General features: G+C 45.8%; 1 protein-coding gene across 4 annotated transcripts in view, besides 2 other annotated features; it reads left to right on the forward strand.

Annotated features, from left to right (window-relative positions):
* The window catches only part of CHST11 (carbohydrate sulfotransferase 11), a 305067-nt gene that overhangs the window by 164125 nt on the left and 121745 nt on the right, over nt 1–19197 (forward strand). The gene's annotated exons all lie outside the window — the stretch shown is intronic.
* Nucleotides 2681–3418: an enhancer, noted in NCBI's record as "NANOG-H3K4me1 hESC enhancer chr12:105017531-105018268 (GRCh37/hg19 assembly coordinates)". NCBI's record gives its function as "activates a minimal SCP1, AML or CMV promoter by ChIP-STARR-seq in primed H9 embryonic stem cells {active_cell/tissue: H9 hESC(primed)}" and the evidence as "EXISTENCE:reporter gene assay evidence [ECO:0000049][PMID:30033119]".
* Nucleotides 11289–11790: an enhancer, noted in NCBI's record as "H3K4me1 hESC enhancer chr12:105026139-105026640 (GRCh37/hg19 assembly coordinates)". NCBI's record gives its function as "activates a minimal SCP1, AML or CMV promoter by ChIP-STARR-seq in naive H9 embryonic stem cells {active_cell/tissue: H9 hESC(naive)}" and the evidence as "EXISTENCE:reporter gene assay evidence [ECO:0000049][PMID:30033119]".

Raw genomic sequence — 19197 nt, forward strand, 5'->3', positions numbered from 1 at the left:
TTTAACTTGCTAAATATCATTGTCCAAAGCCTTGGCAGACTTTCAAAAGCAGCGTTGTTGCTGATCTCAAGCTTGACACAGTGGGATCTTGGGGAGTCTCACAGACCACAGCCCCCAGTTTGTGGGGGCATCTTGATCAAGGCCTAGGCAAAGGATCTGTTTGGAGAATAAAAGCCAAGCCAGCCTCAAAGATGAACATGTGTGGCCCGGCCTGTTAAACCCAGTCAAGGCGATGGGCTGCAGACATCCTGTCTTTCTCTGGTGCTGTCCTAGACCTTGCCATTGGCCCAGGGCCATTCAAAACCCAAGGCCTACAGTCACGGCTTCCCAAGCTATGGTAGGCAGAATGCCTTGCCCCTTTTCCAAGCAATAAGAATATGTTACCTTATTTGGCAAAAGGGACTTTGCAAAGGCAGTTTAAGTTAAGGGTTTTAAGATGGAGAGATTATCCTGGATTATCCGGATGGGTCCAGTATAATCATCAGGATGATAAGGGAGGCAGGAGTGTCAAAGCCAGGAAAAGAGATGTTGTGAGGATGGAAGCAGAGCTTGGAGTGATGTGAGGAAGGGGGCCACAAGCCTAGGAATGTAAGTGACCTGTAAAAGATGGAAAAGGCACAGAACAGATTTTCCCTTGGAGCCTCCAGAAGGAACGCAAGCCTGCTAACCCCTTGACTTTAGGACTTGTGACCTTCAGAATGGAAGCAGTTGTTTGTAGTGATTTGTTACAGCGGCAATAGAAAACTAACATGCACACACCCCTTTTTAGTTGGAGCTAAGCTTCCCTCTCCCAAGACCAGGGTCCAAAGGAGGCCTGGGAGAGGCCAGGTCTGTGACATCAGGTAAGCAGTCCGGCAGCAGCGTGGTGAGTCTGGAAAATGGGATGCTGATGGTTGTGGTGATACTGCCTTTTTCAGAATTGTTTTGAGGATCAAGTGAGGTACTGTGAAAATGCCTGGCAAATCTAGGTATAAGCCGGCAACCCCGGTGACCCCCACAGGCACATCATGGCTTACATACCGGCAGGGAATAGGCTGAGTTGATACAACCAAAATCCTTGTACATATTCATAAGAACTCTTTGACAACCACACATTCAACCTGAAATTTATATCAGATCACAGTTTTGTGGATAACCAAAATCCTTGTACATATTCATAAGAACTCTTTGACAACCACACATTCAACGTGAAATTTATATCAGATCACAGTTTTGTGGATGGGTTCCTATAGGTAGGAGGTACTACCACTGTTTAGTCAGTACATTTATTTTTTTTAAAAGGACGGAGTAAATATTTGGAATTAATGGTGTTATATTTGTCAAGATTTTCCTTCATGAAATGATTATATAATTCTTACAGTATTCTCAAAGTACCCGCATAGAGACTAGCTTCATTGAAACTCACAATTCTCTCAAGGTTGGCAGGGGAGATATTATCTTCCCATTTTAGACAGTGCAAAGAGAAGGAAGATCAGAGTATTAAATAACTCTCCCCAGCCAAGTAAGCTCTTAATAAATGTCAGGTAAGGCTAAACCTGAACGTCGAGCCTAGAGAGGGCAAAGAGCATGCCGGTTCAGAGCAGACACCCCTGCCAGGCACTAGCTGGGTGACTTTGGGCAAGTTACTTAACCTCACTGTGCCTCAGTTTCCTCATCTCCCAATGTAAGGATAATGTACCTACCTCACAGGTTTGTTGTGAAGACTAAATGAAGATAATGCAATAAACGGCTGAGACCCATGCCAAGCACATGGTAAAAGTGTGTAATTGCGTATTAGCAGCAGCAGCCAGAGCAATAGCCAAGGGTCAATTAACTCCCAGTCCAGTGTTCAGTTCATGATTGTCCATGCATTAAGAGCCAAAGCACCCCCAAAGCCATCTCACCCTGCTGAAGCAGTCTAAAGTGCTCAACTAAGTTGGTGCATTAATCTCTAGACCAGAGGTCAGCAGACGTTTTCTGTAAAGGGCCAGACAGCAAACATTTTAGGTCTCTGTTGCAACTACTCAGCTTTGCCCTTGTGAATGAAAGCAGCCAAGACAATATGTAAATGAATGGGCGTGGCCAGATTTCATCCACAGGGGTTCCCTGCTTTAGACTGTGCCGAGAGCCAGAGGTCTTGAGTTCAAGTCCCAGCCTCACCACACTGCAAGGGTGTTCTTGAGCAAGTCAGGAAGGCTCCCCAGAGTCAGGCCCTTAGCCTCTAAAAATGGGAATAATAATGCCTCCCTCAAGAGCTGGTGAGACAATGGAAGCTGTTTGTAAACTGTAAAGTACCGTGCCTGATTTGGTTATTAGTGTTTTATTGCTGATGTACGGTCGAGGTCCAGGCCACCCGTGGTAGATAAAAGTGCATGTGGGCTGGACGAAGTGGCTCACGCCTGTAATCCCAGCACTTTGGGAGGCCGAGGCAGGTGGATCACCTGAGGCTGGGAGTTCGAGACTAGCCTGACCAACATGGAGAAACCCCGTCTCTACTAAAAATACAAAATTAGCCAGGCATGGTGGCACATGCCTATAATCCCAGCTACTCGGGAGGCTGAGGCAGGAGAATCGCTTGAACCTGGGAGGCAGAGGTTGCGGTGAGCCGAGATCGCGCCACTGTCACCCAGCCGAGATCGCCTGGGTGACAGAGTGAGACTCCATCTCAAAAAAAAAAAAAGTTCATGTGCCCTTGGTGTAAAATACTGGGCTCTATCTCACCGTCTCTGCTGTCTGCAGTTGCATTATGAAATCAGGAAAGGGTTATTTAATTTCAATCACTTTCAACTTGTTTTGGGGTATGAGAAACACACCAGCCTCTGAAAGCTTCCCGTTGCTGTCATGTGATGTTTCTCTAGCCACGAAGCCTTGTGTAGTCTGAGTTGATCTTCATTCTGAAAATGGCAAATGAACAGAATGACCATGATGAATGGGGGCTCCTGAGAAACACAGCACTCGTTCTCAGTGTCTCAGGCTGGGGGAGTGAAGCCTGCAGCCTTGATGGAGGGAAGGTATGTGGAAAATGAATTGCTGAGCGGAATCTCAGAGAATGGCTGCTGAAGAAAAGCATTTCAAGGAGCAATTATGCAGCTCATTAAGATGCACTCCATTCCGGCCTCTGATCCTAGGGGAATTGTCAGAGCAATTATGTGCAAACCTCAATTTTGAGGTCTGAAAAGGGGTTGGTGCATAATCGGCAGGAGAAGAAAAAGAAGGGAGACGGTTTGAAACAATGGGTATTAAATGATTGTCACAGCAAGGAAGACAGGGATGGAAGGAGTGGACACCCTGGGTACTTAAGACTGAATGTGTGGTCTCAGGATTGCATACGGGCCATGTGGGCAGTGCATTTGGTACCCTTAATAGGACTTCTTGGAATCAAAGTGGTTTGCTTTGTACAAAGTTGTAAGCATGGTGTTTGGGATATGTTTGTTGAATGAATGAATGATTTGTGCTTGCCATATCAAATGAATGAAGGGAAAAATGAATGAAGAAGTTAAAAAGGTTAAGAATTCATGTAAAATGAAGATAATAATCATACATACCTTACACGACTACTGTGAGAATGAGGTGGTATAATGCACTTAAAGCTGTCAGCACAGAGCCTGACAGTGGCAGGCTCTCAATTCTAGCTAGTATTGGGATTACATTTTCCCAGGTGTGTTAGTCAGCTCAGACTGCCATAACAACATACCACGGACTGGGTGGCTTGAACAACAGACATTTGTTGACTCGGGTCTTGGAGGCTGGAAACCCAAGATCCAGGTGCCAGTAAGGTTGGTTTCTGGTGAGCCTCTCTTTTTGGCTCACAGACGGCCACCTTTTTGGCTGTGTCCTCACATGGTCTTTCCACGGTGCCCGTGCACTCCTGGTTTCTCTTCTTATAAGGACACGGTCATTCTGGGTTAGGGTCCCGCCTTTATGACCTCATTTAACCCTAATTACCTCTTCAAAGGCCTCATCTCCAAATACAGTCACATTGGAGGATAGAGCTTCAACATACAAATTTTGGGGGACCCACCTCATTCCATAACACCAGGTGAAGAATCAGACTTTGCTATTGAGGTTATTAGGCCTGATCTTGTGACTAAGCAGCTATGCAAAACCTTTTAAAGCCACTAGAATCACTGTTTCCTGAGATGCCAAACTGGAGATGCCCCAGTGTTCTAGAAAAGCAAATAGACTTCCAGTAACTTATGTCCTTCTGTGTTAGTGCCTGACTCTGCTATTCAGAGATGCCAGTGACCATCCTTTTTCTTTTTCTTTTTCTGAGACGGAGTTTCGCTCTTGTCGCCCAGGCTGGAGTACAATGGCTTGGTGTCAGGTCACTGCAACCTCTGCCTCCCGGGTTCAAGCGATTCTCCTGCCTCAGCCTCCTGAGTACCTGGGATTACATGTGCCCACCACCATGCCTGGCTCATTTTTGTGTTTTTAGTAGAGATGGGGTTTCACCATGTTGGCCAGGCTGGTCTTGAACTCCTGACCTCAGGCGATCCGCCCGCCTTGGCCTCCCAAAGTGCTGAGATTACAGGCATGAGCCACCACGCCCAGCTGGCCATCCTTTTTCTTTCCACTGTTAAGACAAACAGGCAACTCACTCATGCTGTTTTTCTGAAAAAAGCAAAATTTCTGAACTGTCTTCTTAAGGATTCCATAAAACAGGTGCCCTGGGAGTTGAAATTGACCATGTGAACCTGTGATTTTGTGTCAGAGTGAGCACTACTAAATCTCATTTTCTTCCCTGTCTTCTTTTTCATTTCCAAATCTGCCCAGAAGACAGTAAAAGCTCATTAATTTGAACCCTGCTAATTTAGAATATGTAACATTTCCTCCAAGCTCACCATGAAGGAGGAATTTGTGAAACAAATTAATAGTGTGAACATAATTAGAAAAGATGAGTCTTGTAGTGTTGGGAGGTACCTGGAGGTGATCCAGTCCTTTTCATTGGTGGCTTGTTTCTTTTCAAATGAGGAAATCGAGGCCCAGTGAGGTTCTGTGGCTCTTCCACACTCACACAGGGGGACTGTTTAACCTCCTTCAGGACACCAGCCTAAAACACGGAGTCTTATTTGTTTGTGAAAGACACAGGCTCTTTATTAGCTGTGGGTTCCTTTTACAATGTGAACCTCAAGTACTAAAAGTGCATTTTTAAAGAAATATTCTGCATTTCAGGTTTCCCACTAATTATGACTGGCCTTCTCCCAAGTTAGTTTGAGCTATTTTGGTGAGGTTTTATAGTGATTTAATAAGAAAAGCTTTTTTAAAACCTCATAAAACCTTCTGTACAATTCATTCTGACCAACATTCCCTCTTACAATTATGTCATTAACAACTTCTTTTTAAAAGACCAGAACTTTTGTCTATTCATGTTAACCTTAAAAGCAGCATTCACCGAACCCCTGAGAAACAAGGAGAGCTATAATACTTTACAGGATTGGGGCAGAGCACATGAAATCATGTGTGAGAGAGGGTTCTGTACATTTGTTTTTCTTAATTGCCATTTCTGACTTGGGCAGCCTCCCCACCCAAAAAAAAAAAAAAAAAAACATGGTCAAAATATACTTGTGCATGTAAATGTGGTATTTCCTGGGAGAGTCCTGAGGGAATGGCCTGTTTTCCATGTGATTTGTTTTTTAATAGACTTGATTTTTTTTTTTAGAGCAGTTTTAGGTTCATGGCAAAATCGAGCAGAAGGCACAGAAAATTCCCAGACACCCCTGCCCCCAGACATGCACGGCCTCCCCCGTCATCAGCATCCTCCACTGAAGTGGTCCATTTGTTACAACTGATGAACCTGTATTGACATGTCTTTGTCACCCAGGCTCACAGTTTACATTAGGGTTCACTGTTGGTGTTGTATATTCTACAGGTTTGGACATGTAGCCACGTGTCATTATACATTTTAGAGTAGTTTCACTGCCCCCAAAATCCTGTGGGTCTACCTGTCCATCCCTCCCTCCCCCCAAGCACTGGCAACCCCTGATCTTTTTACTGTCTCCATAGTTTTGTCTTTTCCAGAATGTCATATAGTTGGAATACAATATGTAGCCTTTTCAGAGTGGCGTCTTTCACTTTGTAATATGCATTTACATTTTCTCCATGTCTTTGCATGGCTTGATGGCTCGTTTCTTTTTAGTACTGAATATTCCATTGTCTGGATGGAACACAGTTTGTTTATCCAGTCACCTACTGCAGGACATCTTGGTTGCTTCCAAGTTTTGGCAATTAAGAATAAAGCTGCTCTAAACATCCATGCGCAGGTTTTTTGTGTGGATGTAAGTTTTCAACTCCTCTGAGTAAATACCAAGGAGAGTGATTGCTGGATCCTATGGTAGGAGTATGTTGACTGTTTAAAAAAATTTAATGAGATGCCTATTTATTAATTTAAATCAAACTGTAGCTGCCGCATGGACTGGAATGTCCTCATCAGCAGATCAGCGCATACTCTCCCCAGAGTCAGACCTACTGGGGCACCAAACCGCAATCAACAGGTTATTCAACAAGCGCAGGTTCAGAGCCCCCAGCAAGATGGCCAGAATTACTAAGTGTTCCTTAGCCTTGGGACATGAATTCTCTGCCACAGCCACAGCCAACAAGAATGGAGCACTCCCAAGTATTTGACGGGCTTCTTATTCTCTCCTTTTGGGCATTTAATACATCTTTAACACAAATCAGGATTGTAGAAGATTAGGGCTTATTTTCAAAGTGTCTTCTCAGCATAAAGTCAGATGATGATGATGATGATGGTGGTGGTGGAGGATGACAGAATTAGCAGGTGGTGGGTGTGGTGGTGATAACTAGCAGCAGCAGCAGTGGCAGGACTGGTGGTAATTATTGTTGTTAACATTTCTTGAACACTCGCTCTGTGCTTTACACACATTATTTCAATCATCACAACTCTTTAAGGCAGACACTCTGTTTGACAGATGACAATGCCAAGGCCCAAAGAAGTTAATCACTTTCCTAAGGTCACACAGCTGGCATGTGATAGCAGCGGGAGGTAATCCCCAGCCATCTAATGCCCTTATCCCCTTCCCCGCTGCCTGGCACAGTGCTCTAAGTCTCTATCTGCCAAGGCTTTTAGAAGTCATTTGATGCACGGAGTGATGTATCTCAGGGCCCCGACATTCGCCATTAAACCCGAGGTCAGGAGACAGGAGACTGCAGTTGTCCTGCTTAATCCCAACGGTCCCGTTCTTCCTGTGTTTCTTTTAAGGGATTTCTCTCCAGCCTCACAAATGCTGACAGGTGGCCCCTCACCCCACAGGGCTCGCTGACTGCACGTGCCCAGACCATCTCTTCAGGTTCCATTTTTTACATTCAAGAGAAGAAAAAGGGCAAAAGATTTCTATTTTAAGCTGTCAGACACAACATGAGCCTATCAAGACTTGTTGAGCTTGGAAGCAGTTCCAGCTTCTTCCTCAGAAAGCAGAAATTTTGACTTTGGGCCACTGATGCTCAGTGAAATGTGTTTCCGTTGTCCAGGGTAACGTGGCGTTGAATTCCGCTGACAGAAGAGGCTCTGCATCGGCTCTAATGAGCAGCATCATTTCAATAGAGCTGGCCCCTCCCTCCCTCTTCAGCCTCATCTTGGGCCCCTCTATTCCTTCCAGCCCTCCAGGCCTTGGTTTAGTTCCTCTGCTGTCCTTGCTTTTTCCTGCCACCGGGCCTTTGCACCTGCTGTTCTTTCTGCTTCACCTCTACTTGGCTGACTCCTTCTCAGCCTTTAGGGTCTCTAGGGCTGGTCACATGTTCCTCTAATACCCTTGCCTCTCTTTGAGAGCCCTTTGCTTATTGTAATTATTTTATGACTTTCTGGTTATTTATTTATTGCTGTCTTCCTCATTGGATGCTAAGGTCCACGCTGGCTGCCTCTGTGCTGGCTTTGTGCCTAATGTACTACATGAAACAAGGGGGAGCTGGATGGATGGACAAGCTGGGAGCCTCAGGGTGAGGATAACGGCACCCCAAGCTTCCTAAGAGCTTAGTCTTCTGGCTAGTCTACTCAATGCCTCATTCTAAACGATCTAGAGTTGCAAATTGCACAGGGGTTAAGAGCAAGTGCTCTAGAATCAGGCTGCCTGCATTTGTATTCCAGCCCTGCCTCTTACTAGCTGTATTTGTTTCTCTTGCTGGGTAACAAATCACACAAACTTAGCAGTTTACGACAACATACTTTTTTTAAATCCCACAGTTTTGATGAGCCAGGAGTCTGAGTATCTTTTAACTGGGTCCTCTACTTAGGATCTCACCAGGCTACAGTCTCATGTGAAGCTTAGGGTCCTTGAAGCTCACATGGTTGTTGGCAGAAATTGTTTCCTTGTAGCCATAGAACTCACAGTGGCTTGCTTCTTCAAGGCCAAGAGGACAGTCTCTCTGAGTTCAGAGAAGGTTAAGCCCTCTTTAAAGTACAGATGCCCCTTGACTTACAATGGGCTTATTTCTTCATAATTCTAAGTTGAAAATATCATAAGTCAAAAATGCATTTGGCCAGTCACAGTGGCTCATGCCTATAATCCCAACACTTTGGGAGGCCGAGGCAGGCAGATCACTTGAGGCCAGGAGTTTGAGGCCAACTTGGCTAACATGGTGAAATCCCATCTCTACTAAAAATACAAAATTTAACTGGGTGTGGTGGCACGCACCTGTAATCCCAGCTACTCAGGAGGCTGAGGCAGAAGAATTGCTTGAACCCAGGAGGTGGAGGTTGCAGTGAGCTGAGGTCGCGGCACTGCACTCCAGCCTGGGCAAGAGTTAATGGGACTCCATCTCAAAATTTTTTTTAAAAATGCATTTAATACACTTAACCTATGAAACATCACAGCTTAGTGCAGCCTACCTTAAACATGCTCAGAATACCAACATTAGCCTACAGTTGGGCAACATTATCTAGCACAAAGCTTATTTTATAATAAAGTTATCTTGAAGAATTTTGAATCAGATTTAAAGCCAACCCATTGTTAAGTTGGAGATTGTCTTACTTATTCCCTGGTTAGGTTAGCCGCATCCAGGATAATTTTTCCTTTTGATTAATACGTAACTCACTTACGGATCTTAGTTATATCTGCAAATCCCTTCGCCCTTGCTGTGTAATATAACATAACCGTGAAGTGATATCCCCTCACATCCCCAGGTCCTGTCCACACTCAAAGGGTATTGTACAGGACATGTATACCAGGAGCAGGAATCACCAGGACCATCTTAGAATTCTGCCTACCACACTAGCTGTGTGGCTTTGGGGAAGTTGCTTAACTTCTGTGTGCCGCTGTCTGTAGAGTAATACCCACTTCATAGGATTTGTTGTAAAGGTTAAACAAGTTGATTTATGGAAAGTGCTTAAGACAATTCCTGGCAGGTGGTGAGTACTCAATAAATGTTAGCTGTTACAACCATAAAGATGAGGATAATCTCCAGCCGAGCCAGTGGGCTCCCAGCTTAGAAATGCAGTCCACCAACTGGCTGGAAAATGAAATCCGAGAAGCCAGGCTGACGGGGAAAGAAGACACCAGAGAATATCAATGACTTGGTAAATTGGCCTTCCCGAAAGGGAAACTGACAGCTTCTACTCCACCAGGCGAAAATGGGCAAAGCAGGTGGAAAGCTGTATCAAGTTACTAAAGCAAATTGGATCTACGTGGGTGCACGTGCCCCTATTTTAGTTCGTTTCATGAAAACATCTCTTCTCAAGGCAAGGAGTCATGGCCTCATCTCTCTGGAAAGCTTTGAAATCCCTTACATCAGGGATTTAAATCAATTGATATCTCTCAGATATGAAGAAATGAGCATAATTGGATATCCTGGCAACTTGTGTCAGCAGCTGCACCCCAAAGTTTATGTCTGCCTTAAGGGAAGGCTTTCTTCTGAAACAGGATCTCAGTTGGTTCAGTTTAAGAATAAGGGCCTCTCATTAACACTAGTGAGACCCCTAATAACGTGAACAGGGTTATTAGGTCTCACTGACGTGTGGTCAGGAGGAGGCCCGCCTGGGAATTTGCCCCACGAAGTGTGCGTTTTGCTGGAGAGGAGAGTGTTCAGAATCGATTTGTTGCTCCGTCTGGGATGCTGTTAACCAAATGTGGGAAGAAGCAGCACAGTGAGTCAATGGAGCAAGTTCGCAGTGGCGTATTTATGAATACTGGCTGGTTGGGGGAGAGGAATGGTGCAGCTTCTTTCTTTGGAAGGGACTCGCTTTATTGAAATCCTTTTCAGTGGGGTCACCCGGGGCAAGTCATTCACTCTTCCTCAGACCTCATAGTTTGCATCTGATAATTCAACTCAAGTCATTTTATTGACGGTGGTAGCGGACCCTGTTGGTGCTGTGCCCAGACCATCCGTTTTAGGGTTTCTGGCCTCTCATCCCCCAGCGTCTATGTGCTTTCCCTCTAATGGCTGCCTGCACCTGCGACTTGCTTTCCGAGGCCACCTTTGAGCTACAAGAGCTGCTTCTCCCATGCCCAGAGATGGGAAGGAGGCTGGGAAGTTACCTCTTCATGGGGGACCCTCAGCCTGGCTCCCTTAAGTCAGGACAAATTCAGAGGAGTAAAGTTATGTTCCAGAGCTCCCCATGGGATCAGAATTAAGCCTGGCATGAAGGCCTGAATTCCATCCTTGCTGGGGCCTCTCCACCTCCCTTTGCTCTCAGGACTGGCTACATGATTTGCAGGACTCAGTGCTGAATGAAAATGCAAGGCCCCTTGTTAAAAAATGATTAAGAATTTTAAAACAACAGTGACAGCAGAGCCTAAAACCTAACCTAAGACCCTTCTGATTGCAGGGTCGGAGCCACGGCACAGGTTGCACAACTACGAAGCTGGGCCTCCCTGCTCCCCAACTTTCCCGGGAGCTCCCCCTTATTCAGTCCCTTGCATGTGAACTCATGTCTTGTACTCCGCTCTGATGAACCTGACTTAAGGCCACTGTTGAGGCACAATGCTGAGGGGCTGGATTCTACAGTAGATACAACACCAACCCTTCCCTCGAGGGGCCGACTCTTTAGCAGGGAAGACAGATGTAGGCACAGATCATCCTGTCACAGACTGTGAAGCAGAGCCCCGTCCCCGAGGTGTCTGCAATGTGGGGAGGTGATGCTGCCTGGGAACACGAGACCTCCTGGATTCCAGGCCAGGGTTCCGTCTTCTGCCCCAAATGATGGATGAATAGAATTGGGGGTGATGATATGGGGGAAGGATGGGGCACCACTTCAGAAGAGCACAGCGCAAGCAGAGGTGTAGTGGGGGGACTTCCATTTAGTTTGCAGGAGCCTACCTGTGCTCAGTACAGAAGACTTGAATTTGAAAAGTCCAAGTTCCTGCCCCCAGGTGGTTCACAAGAGATGCGTACAACCAGCTCTGGTGGAATTCTGTGCAAGGGAAGTGCCGAGCTAACGGGGATGAGGCGAAGTGCTAGATACAAGAGGAGCCTGGTCTCCTAAGAAGTTCCCACTAGGTGTTAGGAGTCCTAGAGCTTCTCATCAAAGAAAAGATTCTCTAACTGTGGAATTTCAGAAATTGGCAAGCTGTCAGGGTTGGTCTGGGGGAGGAGGGAACCTCCTGAAATCACTTTATGTGATGGGTTCCTCCATCCGCTCAAACGGGTTTCTTAGTTTTAGCCCATCAGTCTGCTGAGGTGAAATTAAGTTCTCTTCCAAGTTTGTTATCTGAAATGACCCTGGGTCCGTCAGTACTGCAGCTGCACCCTGACCTGGGCTGGTGACAGTGCTCTGCAGGAGGCGCCCACTCGTTCCCGGTCCTCCTCCGGGAGGAGCCCACAGACACCACACTGGTTTCCCAGTACACTGAAGCTATCGCTGACGTTAAGGAGCCTCTTCTAAGCTGGGAAATGTGGGCAGCTGGCTGCGGTCCTCCCTGGAGGGGGTGAGGGAAGGTGTTGGTGAAACGCTTGTGGTTCTCAGGGGCCCTGGGAAACTCTTTTCTTTATCATCGACTTTGTCAGGCTGAAGCCATCTCTCATTTTTCAGAGCATGCTCATGGGCAGGGAGGGTGAGAGCTCTTCCATCCGGGAATAAGTTTATAAATGCACGAAAGCAGCTGGGCTTTGCCGGGAAGCAGGATGAGGGGGCTGCCCTGGGTTTGATGTTGTGCTCTCTTCTAATGCTGGAAATATTCAGCTGCTCCTGGGTTGGATGTGAGCACCAACTGAGGCTGGCTCATAATTCTTCCTTGACAAATGCCTCATTTGGGACAATAACTCATGATTTCTTCACTGCCTCCTATTAAGCAATTAAAAGAAGGCACACATTATTCTATGAATATATATGATCAAATGATTTTAAATTATTGAGTGGTGTTGGAAGCCAGAGAACAGTGAGGGAAAGAACTGCATGTGCTCCTCTCCCTCTGTCTTTTTTTTTTTTTTTTTTTTGAGATGGAGTCTCACTCTGTCACCCAGGCTGAAGTTCAGTCGCGTGATCTCGGCTCACTGCAACCTCTGTCTCTTGGGTTCAGGCAATTCTCGTACCTCAGCCTCCCGAGTAGCTGGGATTACAGGTGCCCGCCACCACACTCGGCTCATTTTTTTGTATTTTTAGTAGAGACATGGTTTCACCATGTTGGCCAGGCTGGTCTTGAACTCCTGACCAGGAGTTCCGCCTGCCTCGGCCTCCCAAAGTGCTGGGATTACAGGCATGAGCCACACCGTGCCCAGCCTCTCCCTCTTGTCCTGTTTTAGAATTTTATTTTATTTTTTAGTCAGGCTTCAGAAGGGCCCTGGAACATGGCTCTGTGTGATCTGGCCCCTGCCTACCTCTGCCACATCTCAGAGCCCTCTGTCCCACAGCTGCATCTTCCTGTCCTCTGCCACTCCCAGCTCCCCCTGCCCCACCTCTCTGTTCCCTCTGCCTGGAGCATCCTCCACATTCTTTCTAGGGGACCCTGGTGCCCCCAGCTAGCTTAGGTCCTCTCCTATTCCCTTCCCTTGACTTTTGCTTTTCTTTTATAGCACTTCATTCAACAAATATTTTTTCAGTACTTACTATGCCAGGCTGTTGTGACATAGCAATTAACAAAACAGACACAAAGCTCGGTCCTTATAGAACTGGTAATCTAAGCTCATTGCCATTGTGTTGATGAGTAATTATTCAGCAATTGGTTTGTTAACTTGTCTTCTCCACTAGACTGGAAGCTCCATGAGGACAGGGCCATATCTGTCTCGTTCACAGTACCATGAATCCCCAGTGCATAGTAGGCACTCAGTAGGTTCCTGGGGAATGAAAGACATTCTGGGATTGATGGCTGCCATTTGGCCATCTAGGCTCTCTGAGGTAGCTGCATCTTCCTTGGGAATCCAGAGGTCGTCATGTGGAATTACCTCCTCAAGACTGAATTACACAGCCTGTTAGAGGGAATATAAGAGGAGCCGAGCTGGCTCCACCACAGGGCTGCCGGGCCTGGAGCTGGTCCCTGAAGAACTCCAGGGCCCGCAGGATGCTCACGGTTTGTCCTTTGCCACGTGCCCGACACGTCTCGCACCATTTCCAAACCGCTCCTCGAGGGTCTCTCCCCTCTTCAACTTCTGTGTATTTTTGCACTTACAACTTCTTGGGGTCATTTTACTTTATGTCAAATATATACTGGCTGGGTGATCATGTCAGGGCCCTTTACTTGCCCTGAGGCACCTCTTCTAGGTGTCAAGAGGGGTCTTCCCTGTTTGGGGTTAGCTGAGCAACTTCTGTTTCACCATTGCTTTTAACCCAGGGCTAGTGGCTTCCTACTGATGTCTTCAGACCAGGCATTAACCTCTTAAAAACCCCACACCTTCAGCTGAAAAACAGATCATCACTGTCCTCAACAATATGCATTTGCTCCATTTACTCCTGGGGTTGTCCATTTGGCTGTTCATTCATTCATTTGTTGAGTCATTCATCAAGGGAAGGAGGGAGGAAGGGAGGGAGGGATTGGGGCCAGGACTAGGTAAGGCAAGCTGGGCTCCTGGGTTGCAGAATTTAAGGCAGCATTCACCCTCAGGACCAGGCAAGTGCAGAGTCAGCAGTCCTGTTCCTGGGTATGGAGTCCTGTCCTGCCCCCGTACCCAGCTTCATTCTCCTTTGAGATTTCATTTGTCACAAAAGCCTTTCACTAGGTGATGACCAAGCTCCAAAGGTGACCCCAGGTAACCCACGAGGGGCCTCCGCACACCCTCACATCACCTCCCCACCATGTCCAAGCTTTGTATGTAGCAAAAGTCTGTGAAAGACAGCGTGGGAGGGAAGTGAGACTCTCCACATTTTCAGGAATAAAAAGTACATTTTTACACTTACTTGATTACTTAAAGGCCCCATCTATCGCAAATGTTGCCTGGCCTTCCGGTGGCACACGCCCGGGGCTTCCAGTGTTTTGATATAAACCCAGACCCTTAAGAAGATGTAATTGCCGGTTGTCTTACAAGCAGTCATCTCATCACAGGGGGGTTGGAAGGAGAATTCAGGAGCCAAACAGCCGCAAGAGCACCTGGCAGATCCAGTTCCGCTGGATGATGTCTTTGAACAAGACTAAAAATGACTGTGTTGATGGCTTCGCCGTTTTCCAACATTTGGTGGAATGACAGAGCCTTAGGACATGTCTGTAGCCACATCTGCCATCTCTGACATCAACTGAGTGTTACTAATTCCCATTCCTCTCTTTTAATGAAGGAAGAGTTCATCAGTGCTGGTCTCATCCAAAGAAGCAAATTAGGGAGTCTGTTCTTTGCAAATGTTGGGGCGTGGTTGGTGATTGCTCAGTGGAGAAGCAGCTGCTGGTGATCAAGTCCTCTGTGTTCACCAGACCCCAGTATGTACAACTATTATGTATCCATAATAATTACAAATTAAAAAAGAAAACAGCTCCCAGGCCAACACACAACACCGCCTTAATGAACATCATTGTCATTCAACCTGTGTAGTTTTCATTCCGGACAGGATGGGCTGCTGGATGCAGTACAATTTAATACTATTATAATTAACATTTACAGAGTGTATATTATGTACTATAAGCTTGCCATGAGGTTTGACTCTGGATTGTGACCATGATCACCCCCATTTTACAGATGTGGCTATTGAGGCCTGGAGAGTTCAGTGGCTGATCCAGGTTACACAGTAGGGCTGTGGCAGAGGCCAGATCAGATCCAAGCATTGGCCTCCCGTGTCCTCATTTCTGTGTTGTTCAGTGTCCTCAGACATCCCGCTCCATTTCTTTGTTCAACGCTACCACCCTCTACCCTGGCCAGACTGGGTTCCTCTCTAACTCAAAGACACATGATGGGACACACAGTGCTTTACAGGGAAGGACAGTGGAGGCCAGGAGAGAGAAGGCTGAACCAAAGAAACTTCCTAAGGCTCAACTGTTTATACAGTTCTCTCCGTCTGTTCTCCATGTTCTCTCCATCAGCCTCTGAGGAGCTCGAAGCTCCTGTAAAAGTCCTTGGCCCTTTAGGTGCGCTCTGGTACCGTCTTTCTCTATGGCACCTTTTGTGGCCTTCAGGTAAAGAGCCAAGAAGGAACACCCCTTTTATTTCCCCTTGATTTTTGTGCCGTTTATTTATTTATCAGTATTGTCTAGCCTTTTAAGAGCCTGGATGTGAGTCTCGGCTCTGCTACTTTGCAGCTGTGTGACCTTGGGCAAGTGACTTAACCTCTCTGTGCCTTGGTTTCTTTATCTGTAAAATGGGATAATAGTATCTAGCTCATGGTATTGTTGTAAGAATCAAAGGAGCTAATCAAAGTAAGGCACTTAGAGCATGACCAATATATATTAATAGGAGGCTCACAAAAAAATCTAGCTCTTACTGCAACTCCTACTACTCCTATTTTTTTTTTTTAAAACAACTTTTATTTTTGCACCCCTGTACTGGAATAGATGATCTTGGGCCTGGTTTCTGTAAGCAACACTGACTGTCATCATCTGTAAGGATAAGCACTTAGTGACTAAACTGAAATCTCCAAGTCTTGCTTTTAAAAAAGAAAGACCCTTGGCTGGCTAGGCACAGTGGCTCACACCTGTAATCCCAGCATTTTGGGAGGCTGAGGCAGGTGGATTGCTTGATCCCAGGAGTTTGAGACCAGCCTGGCCAACATGGTGAAACCTCATGTCTACTAAAAATACAAAAAAATGAGCTGGGTGTGGTGGCACGCACTTGTAGTCCCAGCTACTTAGGAGGCTGAGGTAGGAGGATCACCTGAGCCTGGAAGTTGAGGCTGCAGTGAGCTGTGATTGCACCAACAGCATTCCAGCCTGGGCCATGGGAGTGAGACCCTGTAAAAAAAAAAAAAAAAAAAAAAAAAAAAAAAAAGGGGGTTGGGGGAGGGGGGAGGGATAGCATTAGGAGATATACCTAATGCTAAATGATGAGTTAATGGGTGCAGCACACCAACATGGCACATGTATACATATGTAACAAACCTGCACGTTGTGCACATGTATCCTAAAACTTAAAGTATAATAATAATTTTTAAAAAAACCACAAAAACCTTTGGCTACAAAATGCCCAGCCTGTATCCAGATTAAAATCTGTGTGAGACCTTTCTATGGCTTCCTTCCTGTTGCACTTAGAATAAAATGCAAAGTCTCTAACAACGTCCATGAGGGCCCCGCCACTAGCCCCTGCCTGCCTTCCACCCTGGCACTCAAAGCTGGTCACTTCCCTGTTCCCCACTGAGACTTGGATTTTGTTGCCGGAGAGACTGCATCTGCTGTCCCCTTTGAGTGGAACTCTTGCTCTGACCTTCAACCCATCTGGTCACGTACATGCACTTGGTCTGCTTCCTGCTCAGCAGGACTCAGCAAAATGATCATCTCCTCCCTTCTCCCTTTGCCGCACCCCCCCACCCCAAATCAGGTGTCCATGTCACAAGCTCCCGGCACTTCTCTTTCTGTGTCTGGGTCCTGCCAGGCTGGAACCTCTATGAGGACAGGGACTCCTTACAAAATTCACCACCACCTCCTCAGTGCCTAGCACAGGTCCTGGCATAGAGCAGGCTCTCTCAGCTGAGCAACTCAAGGAGGCACAAGCACCAGGCAATGGTTTACCAGTGGTATGTTGTGACCTATTGTAAAATGGGTCTTCCGGGTCATAACCAACCTTGGAAGCAGGGGAAAAGGAGGAGGAGAAAGGAGGAGCAAAATGAGAAGGAGCTGGAGGAAAAGAAGGAGGAAGAGAGAAAGAAAAAGAACAGAACAAAACAAAATAGAAAATATCAGAAGACATTGCATGTGAAAGGAGAAAAATATTGTCTCGTAAGACTTTCATTTTGTATATGTGTGAACAGATGTGTGTGTGTGTGTGTGTGAAGTTGTACAATATGTTCTTACTATAGGTTGAAGTAAAAAAGAAAAAGGTGGGAAAGTTACCTGACTTAAAGTGTGATGATATTAGCAATAGGTGTCAACCACTTGACTCAACCTGAACTCCTGCCCTTCCCAATGGAGTGGGATGGGAAAATGCAGTCAGCATCCAACTGCCACTTGAATTACCAACATCCACTACTCTCATGATAAAGGGTGTACGTGGGGGTGATTTGGGTAGTGGGCAGGATAGGGTATTGTGAGGTAAGGGTTGGGGTAACAAAAAATAGCCTTGCATTTCTGCCAGAAATCCCCTTCTTTAAGCCTGCTAACTTTGCAGAAGAATGGGTGTGGGACATTTGTCTCAAGTTCCTTATCCTGTGTTGCTTTGGCTGAAATCTCCGATGAATATGTGCAGCTTACCTAAAGGAAGAATTTCTCTATCTGAATGGATCCAGGTCCTGCAACTTCTTTCATAGGGTATAACTTTAGTTTTCAGCCGCTTTTTTTCTGCTTCCTAGAACTCGAAAGGTACAGGCAGTCTGCAAAGTGCAGTGGCTTTTGAGTTGAACAAATCCCAAATACCAGTGGCAGGCACAGATCCCAAAAGCTGCGCATGTGGCTTTTCTCCTGGCACTTGAGCTGAGATTGTCTCTTTTAGAAATGTCAGCTTGGGAGTGGGAAGCTTGAAAATGTCAGTCTTGCTAGTCTGTGGCTTGGTGACTTTTAGGAACTGGGGTTCTCAGAATTGCATGTGCCTTTCCATGACCTTTGTTAGAAACGTATGCCATCCTGGAGTTTGCAGGGCATGTGGCAGGAACTTCTGATTAATATGCTTTGAAATTCAGGTCTGGAGTCACATAACCCATGTTGGCATTTCTGGTATCAGTTCACATAGTTTGAAGTATAATAAGACATACTTGTGTATTACAGGTTGAAGATTAAGATGGCAAAATACTTTAACACCACTGGTCACAGCCCAAGGACTATATATAAATAGCATCAATCCTAAAGGCCCCAAACTGGAAACAAATGTCCATAAGCTTGTGAATGGATACACAAAATATGGTATATCCATACAATTGATACCCAACCACATTAGTTTGCCTACACACAGTAAGCCAATCACTGTGATGATGGATTTTCCTAAAGAGAAGTAATTTTTTCATGAGGCAGCCAAGCTAGGAGGTAGGAGAACAGGTCTCAAATCTGCCTTCCCAAAGATGGGATTTTAGGGATCTTTATGGGATAGAGGAGCAAGGTGGCCTGAGGCATGGGGAAAGGCGATTGTGGGTAAGAGAACATGAGGTAATTGGCAATCCATGCATACGTGGTCAAGCTTCATTGCCCTTCACGGAATAAGAGTTCAGAAAATGGTGGCATTAACATGATCTGAGGGAGTAGTGTTTGGCCCTCTGATGTCAAAAGGTCACCTCTCATGCCTTTGTGCAGGCCCAGTTGGAGGTCGGTGGTCTCAACCAGCTTGTGTTTGCAAAACACATACCTAAAAAAAGACTCATATACCAAATATACAGAGAACTCTTAAATTCAACAATAAGAGAACAAACAGCCCAGTTAAAAATGGGTGAAAGATACAAACAGATGTCGCCAAAGGAGATCTACAGATGGCAAGTAAGCATAAGAAAGGATGCTCTACATCATATGTCGTTAGGGAATTACAAATTAAAACAAAAATGAAATAACACTTAATACCTATTAGAATGTCTAAAATCCAAAACACCAGCAACACCAAATGCTGGTGAAGACATGGAGTAACAGAAATCTCATTCACTGCGGGTGGAAATGCAAAATGATACAGCCCTTTTGGAAGACAGTTTGGCAGTTTCTTATGAAACTAAACATCCTCTTATCATGTGATCCAGCAGTTGCACTCCTTAGTATTTACTCAAATGAGCTAAAAACTTATGTATCCACAAAAATC

Source organism: Homo sapiens, chromosome 12, assembly GCF_000001405.40.
Source record: "Homo sapiens chromosome 12, GRCh38.p14 Primary Assembly".
Taxonomy (NCBI): Eukaryota; Metazoa; Chordata; class Mammalia; order Primates; family Hominidae; genus Homo; species Homo sapiens.